Raw genomic sequence first — 10635 nt, forward strand, 5'->3', positions numbered from 1 at the left:
TGCTTTGGCTATTTAGGCTCTTTTTTGGTTCCATACAAATTTTAGGATTTATTTTTTTCTATTTCTGTAAAGAATGTCATTGGCATTTTGATAGGAATTGCTTTAGTAGTATGGTCATTTTACAATATTAATTCTTCCAATCCATGAGCATGGAATATCTTTACGTTTGTTTGTGACCTTTGCAATTTCTTTCACTGGTGTTTTGTAGTTTTCCTTGTAGAGATCTTTCACCTCCTTGGTTAAATTTATTCCTAGTTTTTTTGTTTTTGTTTTTGTTTTTGTTTTGTCATTGTACATGGGATTTCTTTATTATTTTTCAGCTAATTCATTATTGACATTATAAGGTATATAGAAATGCTACTGATTTTTGTATGTTGATTTTGTTTTCTGAAACTTTACTGAATTTGTTTATTTGCTCTAGGAGTCTTTTGAAGGAATCTATAGGGTTTTCTAGATATAGAATTATGTTGTCAGTGAACAGAGATAATTTGGTTTCCTCTTTTTCTATTTGGATGCCTTTTATTTCTATCTCTTATTTGATTGCTCTGGCGAAGACTCCCAGTAGTATGTTGCATAGAAATGGTAAAAGTGGGCATCCTCGCTTGTTTTAGTTCTTAGGGGAAAGGGTTTTAGTTTTTCCCCATCAGTGTGTTAACTGTGGGTTTGTCATACATGGTCTTTATTATGTTGAGGTATGTTCCTTCTGTGCAGAGTTTGTTGAGTGTTGTTTATCATGAAGGGATGTTGAATTTTATCAAATGCTTTTTCTGCATCTATTAGGTGATCATGTAGTTTTTGTCTTTTGTTCTGCTGAGGTGATATATCACATTTACTGTTTACATATGTAGAACCATGCTTGCAATCCTGGGGTAAATTCCACTTGATTGTGGTATATTATCTTTTTGAGGTGCTGCTAGATTTGGTTTGCTAATATTTTGTTGAGGATTTCTATGTCTACGTTCATTAGTTTATTGACCTGTCATTTTCTTTCTGTGTTGTGTTTTTGTTTGGCTTTGTTACCAAGGTAATACTGGTTTTACAGAATGAGTTAGGGCAAATTCCCACCTCTTCTCTTTTTTAGAATAGTTTGAGGAGAATTGAAATTAGTTCTTCTTTATAAGTTTGGTAGAATTATGCAGTAAAGCCATTATGTTTTCAGCTTTTCTTTGTTGGGAGACTTTTAAATTTGTTTTCAATCTCATTACACTTTATTGATCTGTTCAGGTTTTCTATTTCTTCCTGATTTGATCTTAGTAGGTTGCATGTTTCCAGGGATTTATCCATTTTCTCTAGGTTTTGCAGTTTGTTAGTGTGTAGTTGTTCATAATAGTATCTGATGATCTTTTGTATTTCTGTGGTTATCAGTTGTAATGCCTCCTTTTTATTTCTAATTTTATTTGGGTCTTCTCTCTTTCTTCACTGGTCTAGCTAGTGGTCTGCCAATATTATTTATCTTTTCAAAAAACCCACTTTTTGTTTGCTGATTTTTTTGTATATTTTTAGTCCCATAGGTTTTAGTATGCTATGTTTCCATTTTCATTTGTTTCAAGAAATTTTTGGCTTCTTTCTTTCCTTCCTTCCTTCCTTCCTTCCTTCCTTCTTTCTTTCTTTTTTCTTTTTTTGAGACACTCTCACTCTGTTACGCAGGCTGGAGTGGAGTGGCACAATCTCGGCTCACTGCAACCTCCGCCTACCAGGTTCAACCAATTCTCATGTCTCAGCCCCCCGAGTAGCTGAAACTAAAGTCATGTATCACCACATCTGCCTAATTTTTGTATTTTTAGTAGAGATGGGGTTTCACCATGTTGGCCAGGCTGGTCTCGAACTCCTGGTCTCAAGTGACCTGCCCACCTCAACCTCCCAAAGTGCTGGGATTACAGGCACGAGCCACCATGCCCAGCCTGATTTGCTTCTTAATTTCTTTGTTAACCCAATGGTCATTCAGGAGCATATTGTTTAATTTCATGTATTTGTACAGTTTCCAGAAACCCTCTTGTTTTTTATTTCTAGTTTTATTTCATTGTGGTCAGAGAAGATACATGATATGATTTCAATGTTTAAACATTTGTTGAGGCTTGTTTTGTATTCTAACATATGGGCTATCTTTGAAAATATTCCATGTGCTGATGAATGTGTACTCTGTAGCTGTCAGATGAAAAGCTCTGTAAATGTCTGTTAGGTCCATTTGATCTAAAATATGCAGTTTAAACCCAATATTCCTTTGTTGATATTCTGTGTAGATAATCTGTCAGTTGCTGACAATGGGGTATTGAAGTCCCCAACCATTATTATATTGGAGCCTATTCCTCACTTTAGAGCTAATAATATCTGTTTTACATTTCCAGGTGCTCTTGTGTTGGGTGCATATATATTTAGACTTATTACATCCTCTTGCCCAGGCACGGTGGCTCACACCTGTAACCCCAGAGCTTTGGGAGGCCAAGGCAAGAGGATCACTCAAGACTAGGAGTTACAGACTAGCCTCAGTAACATAGTGAGACCCCATCTTACACAAAATTTTAAAAAATTAGCCAAGTACGGGGCATGTGCCTGAGGGTGAAGTGAGAGGATTGCTTGAGCCCAGGAGGTTGAGGCTGGAGTGAGCCATGATTGTGCCATTCCCTTCCAGCTTGAGTGACAGAGCAACAGAGCGAGGCTCTGTCTCAAAATAAAAAAAGAGAGAAAAAAGATTTTTATATCCTCTTAATGAATTGATATCTTTATCATTATATAATTACCTTTTGTCTCTTTTTGCTGTTTTTCACTTAAAGTCTGTTTTATATGCTATAAATATAGCACATTCTGCTTATTTTTGGTTTCTGTTTGTGGAATATTTTTTCCATCCCTTTGCTTTTAGTCTATATATGTCTTCACACGTGAAATAAGTTTCTTGTAGATAAGACATAGTTAAGTCATGTTCTCTTACCCATTCATCCAGTCTATATCTTTTAGGTGGAAATTTTAATTTGTTTACATTCAAGGTAACTGCTGATATGTGAGGACTTATTCCTGTCATTCTGTTAATTGTTCTCTGGTTGTTTTGTATATCCTTTGTTATTTTCTTCCTCTCTTATTTTTTATCTTTATGGTTTGGTGATTTTATGTAGTTGTAACATTTGAGTCCTTTCTCTTTCTCGTGTGTGTTTTCTCTATTCATTAGTTTTATACTTTCATGTGTTTTCATGATAGTAGATATGGTCCTTTTGCTTCCAAGCACAGAACTCCTTTATGCATTTCTTGTAGGTCTGGTCTAGTAGAGATGAATTGCCTCAGCTTTTCCTTGTCTGGGAAAGTCTTTATCTTTTTCTTCATTTATGAAGGATAATTTAGCTGGGTATAGTATTCTTGAGTAGCCATTTTTTTCACTTAGCACTTTGAATATATCATTCCGCTCTCTTTTGGCCTGTCATGTTTCTGCTGAGAAGTCAATTTTTAGTCTGGTGAGGATTCTCTTATATGTGACTAGGTACTGTTCTCTTGCTGTTTTAAAATTCTTTCTTTGTCTTTGACTTTTAACAGTTTGGCTACAATATGACAGGAAAAAGCCTTTTTTTGGATTGTATCTGTTTGGGGATCTTTGAGCTTCCTGTATTTGGATGTCTAAATCTCTTGCTAGAACTGGGAAATTTTCAGCTAATATTTTGTTAAATAGGCATTTCTATGGCATTAACTTCTCCTTGCCTTCTGGGACACAAAACATTTGGATATTTTGTCACTTATGATGTCCCATATATCAGATAGCCTTTCCTCATTCTCTTGTATTCTTTTTTTTTTTTGTCTGATTGGATTATTTCAAAAGACCTCTCTTCAAGTTTTTCAAGTTTCTTCTGCTTGATCTAGTCTATCATTGAAGCTCTTGATTATATTTTTAAATTTTATTTATTGAATTCTTCAGTTCCAGGATTTGTTTAGTTCTTTTTTATAGTGTCTATCTCTTTGGTGAATTTCCCATTCATATAGTGAATTATTTTTCTGATTTGATTTCTTTGTATTGTTCATCTCCATTCTTTTGTATCTCACTGAGCTTCTTTAATGTTATTTTTAATTTCTCAAGCATTTCATAAATTTCTCAAGCATTTCATAAATTACTATTTTTTGAAATCTGTTGTTGGAAAATTATTATGTTCCTTTGGAGGTTTCATATTTCCTTGTTTTTTCATGTTTCCTATTTCCTTTTTTTTTTTAGATGGAGTCTTGCTCTTGCTGCCCAGGTTGGAGCACAGTGGTGCGATCTCTGCTCATTGCAACCTCCGCCTCTCGGGTTCAAGCAATTCTCCTTCCTCAGCCTCCCCAGTAGCTGGAATTACAGGTGCCCACCACCACACCTGGATAATTTTTTTGTATTTTTAGTACAGACAGGGTTTCACCATGCTGTCCAGGCTGGTCTCTAACTCCTGACCTCAGGTGATCCACCCGCCTTGGCCTCCCAAAGTGCTGGGATCACAGGCGTAAGCCACCACGCCCAGCCTCCTATTTCCTTTCATTGACATTTGCACATCAGGTGTAACAGTCTCTTCTTCTATTTTTGGATTGGCTTTTGCATGGGGAAGACTTTTTCCTGTAGGTGAATCTATGGTGTTGGTTGGGTAGGGCACTTTTGCTTTGATTCTGGGTGTGTGCAGTAGTGCAGGCTCATAGGAGTTCCTCGGCTATAAACTCAGTCAGTGGTGTTTGTGATTTTCTCAGTAGCTTGGGCTCTGGTTGTTAATGGAAGCTGTGGTGAGGTTTTTCTGGGGACAGGACAACCCTCAGGCTTCCAGGTGGCACTTGCTGGCCGGTCTTGCTTCCTTCTTTCTTTCTTTCTTTCTTTCTTTCTTTCTTTCTTTCTTTCTTTCTTTCTTTCTTTCTTTCCTTCCTTCCTTCTTTTCTTTTTTCTTTCTTTCTTTCCTTCTTTCTTTCTTTCTCTTTCTTTATCTTTCTTTCTCTTCCTCTTTCTCTCTTTCCTTCCTTCCCTTTCTTCCTTCCTTCCTTTCTTTTTCTTTCTTTCTTATTTCTTTTTTTTTTTTTTTGTCTGTGATGGTCTAAGCAGGCCATTCCCTAGGTCCCCAGGTGGCACATGCAGTTGTGTGCTGGTGGTGGTGGTGATGGAAGGCTGGGCAGGCCCATCTTCAGGACCCCACGAGGAGTTCCCAGATGCCAGTAGTTATGAATGAGGCAGGGAGATGCCCAGGCCTCCAGAGAGCATGCTTGGTTGCTGGTTGCTGGTTTTCTAGGCCTGTTGTTAGGCCCTTTGCTTGTGTGCATGTGTTCCCAGGGCAACTGTTGGGGTGGTGTGGCCCCAGGCTCCCAGGTGGTGTGTTTGGGGCACTGAGGGGCCAAGCCTGGTAAGATGGGTCTGTTTTTAGGTGTCCTGTTGGCCCACTTAAGTGTTGGCTTTAGTGGGTGGGGCAGGGCAGGCCCCCAGGCCTCTGGAAGGTATGATAGGGTGCCAGCAGTGGCAGGTGTTCTGAGGCTATTATTAGGCCCCCTGCTGGTTTGCATCCTCACCTGGGTGACTGATAGGATGGGCTAACCCCTGGGTCCCCAGGTGGAAGGTTTGGGAACGGGGGGGTGTGGTTCCAGTCTGGGTGGGCCTATCCTTAAGCTCCCCATTGTTGCGTATGGCCACAGGCTGTGGTGAGCATTGTGGGTCGATCCCCAATTCTTGGGCAGTGTGCTCAGGCAGGGATAGTAGCAGTGGCAGTGGGCAGTAAAAACCCATCCTGAAGGCATATGCAAGTGTGCAGTAGCCCTGCTAGGGATGGGGGTGCTATTTGTGGTAGCCATCCCAGGAAGGTGGGGTTCAGACTCTGGACAGTATGTACTTTGGCTCCCAGTAACAGCAGTGGCTGAAGCAGCTGGCAAGGATAGCCCGGACTCCAGGCATAAGCAAGTGCATGGCAGCCCTGCTGCTGGGGAGAGCATTAGGGTTGCTGTTTGTGACCACAGCTTAAGGTAGATGGATTTCAGACTCTGGGGTGTAAGCACTTTGGCTCCCTCCTCCCTGGTGTGCTGCACCTCTCTCTCCCCAGTGTATAGGACACTGTACGGGCTAGATTGCTGGGGATCCTGCTGTTCTACTGGTTCCAACTGGCATCTCACCTCTGTAGCCCTTCTGGTGGATGTGGGGAAATGTCACTGGGACTCCAGGGAGGTGGAGATGCAGGAGCTGTGGGGCACTGGGACAGGATGTAGCTTGGTGGAAGTTGGGCTCTCAAAATGGTGTCATGCTGCAGCTGCCTGGGAGTTAGGAGACGGGGTGGTGTGAGACCCACTATGAGCTCCCTCTCTGGAGCAAAACTCTCTCATGGACTCTAGGGAGCTCCTCATGCCAGTCTCAGGGCCTGCAGGGCTTGAGGAACTCTCCCATGGCTAGTATTACAGGAATCTGTGGTAAGGATGTGGACCACTGGGGATCTTGCACTTCCCCTTTCCTTGCACTGAGGAGCCTCTCTGAGCTCCCAGCTGATCCTGGCTGGGCTGTCGGTTTCACCTCTGGCTCCTTCAGTGCCTCAGGTGTTTCTTGTCACTTTGTTAAATTCTAGCTTTCTCTCTTAGATGTTCTGTTCCAAGTGTGAGTATCTACTCACCATTTTGGTTCTTTGTGGAGGAGCTGAGTGTCTTGTGCCTCTAGTCAGTCATCTCAAAACGTCACTGCTCAGACTTCTTTTTTTTTTTTCTTAAATAGAGACAGGATCTTGCTATGTTGCCCAGGCAAGTTGGTCTTGAACTCCTGGGTTCAAGCAATCCTCCCACCTCAGCCTCCCGCAGTGCTGGGATAACAGGCATGAGCCACCACACCTGGCCCAAACTTCTCGAGAGTAGTAGTGTTTGACTTTTGTCTTCTGTGGTGTAATTATTCTCTAATAGCTTGGGATTGAACTCTGACATGATAAACAGTGAGTGTATGCTACTGAGAGACCAAAAAGATTGGAATAGTTCACAAAGGGATATAGGAGACTCTATTTCCCAGGAGGTCCTGAACAAAGATTTACCCACTTAGAGTAAGTATAGGCAGGGATACCCTTGAAGCTAGAACACTAAGAGGTGGCACTTATATGACTCTATTCTTGAGAAAATTTATTTTTTCCCCCTCGTGGTTGGTTATAACATCGAAATAGTTAAATGAAACTTGCTCTGAGTTGTTATTTGTCTGCCACCCTCCCCTTTAGAGAAACTGATTTCTGAATAATTTCTCTTGTACATGCATTTTAAAGGTGTGTAATTAACTGGTAACAGGTTGTTAGGTAGCTGATGAGGTGTGAAGTAGCCACTAATTTGTTTTCTTTATTTACAACTTTCCCTGCTCTTGAAGATGACAGCATGATGTTTTTCATTCCCTGCTTACTTCACCAGATTGAAAAGTGATTTGTGAAGCCATTTTTAATCCCTCAAATTCCATTAAAAAGGAATCTCCAAGGGAGTCTTAATCAAGACATAATAGACACTAAAATGTGATCACACAACAGCACTTCTAATATGGCCCTATTTCAACTATAATGTTAAGCGTTTGCCTCCAGTTTACTGAACTCAGCCCTAACACTGACCTACAACTTCTGAAATGAAATAACCTCTATGCAGTTGGCAATTACTTTATTGTAAATGTTTGCAGCTAACATACTTTATTGCTTTAGAATTTAACATATACCCCAAAGGGATAATTCGTTACCAAATTATTATAGTATTATCAGTAAAATAGTTTGCTTTCCCCTTCAAATTGCCTTTTCCCCTACTTAATAATATATATAATTTAAATCAGTTTAAGAAATTAAAATGGAAACATAATGAAATGAGAATCATTAAAAACACCACACTAGAATACTGAAAATGAAGCTGAAACAGAAATGGCTAAATGTAAAATTTGTATGTAACCAAAAGGGGTAATTTGAAACCAGGGAGCATATTGAGTTATTGGATGAGTTTGATGAAAATAAAAACTCTGTCCTTGAAGTTTTAAAAATATTACCAAAAGTAAGCTACAGAATATGTAAAGAATATATCATGGAGAACTCCCCTTCACCCTTGAATAGACAGTTAACCAACATGCAACAAAGCACAGATGTTAGATACGTGGCAACATTTTCCTTTCTACCTGTCAGAGCCTACATTAATACTTCCATCGAGAACATTGTGGCCTCCAGGATACTATTTTCAAATGTAGATATGTCTCAGAGCATCAATGCTACAAGTTGCTATGGTGATCACTTTTGTATGATAATAACCAATGCTCACTGAGTTTTTGATTTATGGCAGGCACTGTTTTAAGTGCTTTATAGTATTAACTCCTTTAATCTTCACAACAATCCTATAAATCTCATTAGGACTCTAAGAATCCTATTAGGATTCTTATTTTATAGACAAGGGAACTGAGGCCCAATTTTACAGTTAAAAGTAATTTGGCTAAGGTTACATAGTGTTGGAGAAATTAAAAACAAAATCTCTTCCCAATCTCTCAGCAAAGAAAGAAGAGAAAGGTAACAGTTTTATTATTGAATAAGCACTAAACCAGAATGTGATGCCCATCACAGGCAATATGCTAAGAGATTGCAAAGACAGAAAGAAATCTCAGCCTTTTCCATAGCCAAGCAGATACCAGATACAACCCATTACATACATGTTTTCTTTTCTCTTTTTTTTTTTTTTTTTTTTTTGAGATGAAGTCTCGCTCTGTCATCCAGGCTGGAGTGCAGTGACATGATCTCGGCTCACTGCAACTTCTGCCCCCTGGGTTCAAGTGATTGTTCTGCCTCAGCGTCTCAAGTAGCTGGGACTACAGGCTCCCATCACCACACTCAGCGAATTTTTGTATTTTTAGTAGAGATGGGGTTTCACCATGTTGGCCAGGCTGGTCTCGAACTCCTGACCTCAAGTGATCCACCCGCCTTGGCCTCCCAAAGTGCCAGGATTACAGGCATGAGCCACCATGTCCGGCTACATATATGTTTTCAAGATAAATAATTATAGTAAGAGGTCTGTCAGCACTATTTGTCACACATAGTTATCCTCATTTTACTTGATATTTTGTGGTGTTAGCTAATTGGCTTTATCCAGAAGAAAAAACAAGCATCTCATCTCTTTATAATAGGAGGTAGTTTTGCAGCTTGGAGCAAGGTATCTACCAAAGTTAGGCTCCTACCTTCCCACAGAAGACAGGGGTACTATCTCCTCTGATGTTTACATTTCAAAGAGATGGCTCCTAGGTCTTAAAAGTGACAAAAGGCCTATCATTTTCAAATGGAATTTTATACATTTCAAAGAGAGGAGGAAGTCCTTACAATTAGAAGGGTTTTTGTTTTGTTTTGTTTTGATAAATGCTTTAAGAAGAAGGAGAGGATGAAAAGTCTCTTCCTTTATTTTCATTTTTTTCTTTCTTTTCTCTCTCTGTGTGTGTTTGTGTGTGTGTGTGTGTGTTTTGTTTTTTTGAGACAGGGTCATACTCTGTCACCCAGGCTGAAGTACAGTGGCACAATCATGGCTCACAGCAGCCTCGAACCCCTCAGATTCAAGTGATTCTCCCACCTCAGGCTCCCGAGTAGCTGGGACTACAGGTGCATGCCTCCACACCCAGCTAATTTTTGTATTTTTCATAGAGACAGGGTCTCACTATGTTGCCCAGGCTGATCTTGAACTCCTGGCTTCAAGCAATCTGCCTGCCTCAGCCTCCCAAAGTGTTGGGATTACAGGCGTGAGCCCCTGCATCTGGCCTTATTTTTAATTTGCATTTGTCCTTACAACAGATAATAAGTAGTGGAGTTAGGATTTAAGATAGTCTAGCTTTAATTTTTTTTTTTTTTTGAGACAGAGTCTTGCTCTGTCACCCAGGCTGGACGCAGTGGCATGATCTCACCTCCACCTCCTGGGTTCAAGCAATTCTCCTGCCTCTCAGCCTCCCGAATAGCTGGGACCACATGCACGTGCCACCATACCTGGCCAACTTTTGTATTTTTAGTAGAGACGGGGTTTCACCATGTTGGCCAGGATGGTCTCGAACTCCTGACCTCAAGTGTTCCACCCATCTTGGCCTCCCAAAGTGCTGGGATTACAGACATGAGCCACCACTCCCAGCCACTTTAAAGCCTTTTTAAGAATCCTATACTATGCCATCTTTGTAAGCTTCCTACTTGGAAGCCATTGAACAGAGGCAATATACTGAGGAAATTAATATATTCACTCAACACTTACTTAATGAGCACCTACTATGTACCAGGCACTTTGCTAGTTATTAAGGATATAATTATGAATAAAACAGACAACAGTTTTGCCCTCATGGAACTTAGGGTCTAGGTGGAGAGACTCATATTAAACAAATAGTTCTTCAAGGTTATCAAACAAAATTATGAAAACTGAGAAGAATGAAAAGTATAAAGAGTTTTGAGAGCATATTAAAGAGAGAATGTCAACTAGTCCAGGTGGTCTTGAGGGCTATTTAAGTTCAAAATAGGAGTTTTGATGAAGAAGAAAGGAAGATAACAAAAGGATAATTTGAGGTATAAAGGAAAACAAAAAAAATCTCAGGACCCCTAAACTTCTTATTGCAAAAGAGGTTAAGCTGCGAGGCTGAGTTAGGCAACACCCTCTTCCAAATGAACAGCTGTTACTAACATGCATCAGCCAGATCCCCATGGAAAGATAAAAGGCCTCAAGCATCTATGAAGG

At 40.1% G+C, this 10635-nt stretch overlaps 1 annotated feature.

Moving 5' to 3' along the window:
- Nucleotides 8917-9460: an enhancer, noted in NCBI's record as "NANOG hESC enhancer chr7:111276647-111277190 (GRCh37/hg19 assembly coordinates)". NCBI's record gives its function as "activates a minimal SCP1, AML or CMV promoter by ChIP-STARR-seq in primed H9 embryonic stem cells {active_cell/tissue: H9 hESC(primed)}" and the evidence as "EXISTENCE:reporter gene assay evidence [ECO:0000049][PMID:30033119]".

The sequence above is a fragment of the Homo sapiens genome, chromosome 7 (genome assembly GCF_000001405.40).
Source record: "Homo sapiens chromosome 7, GRCh38.p14 Primary Assembly".
NCBI classification, from domain to species: Eukaryota; Metazoa; Chordata; class Mammalia; order Primates; family Hominidae; genus Homo; species Homo sapiens.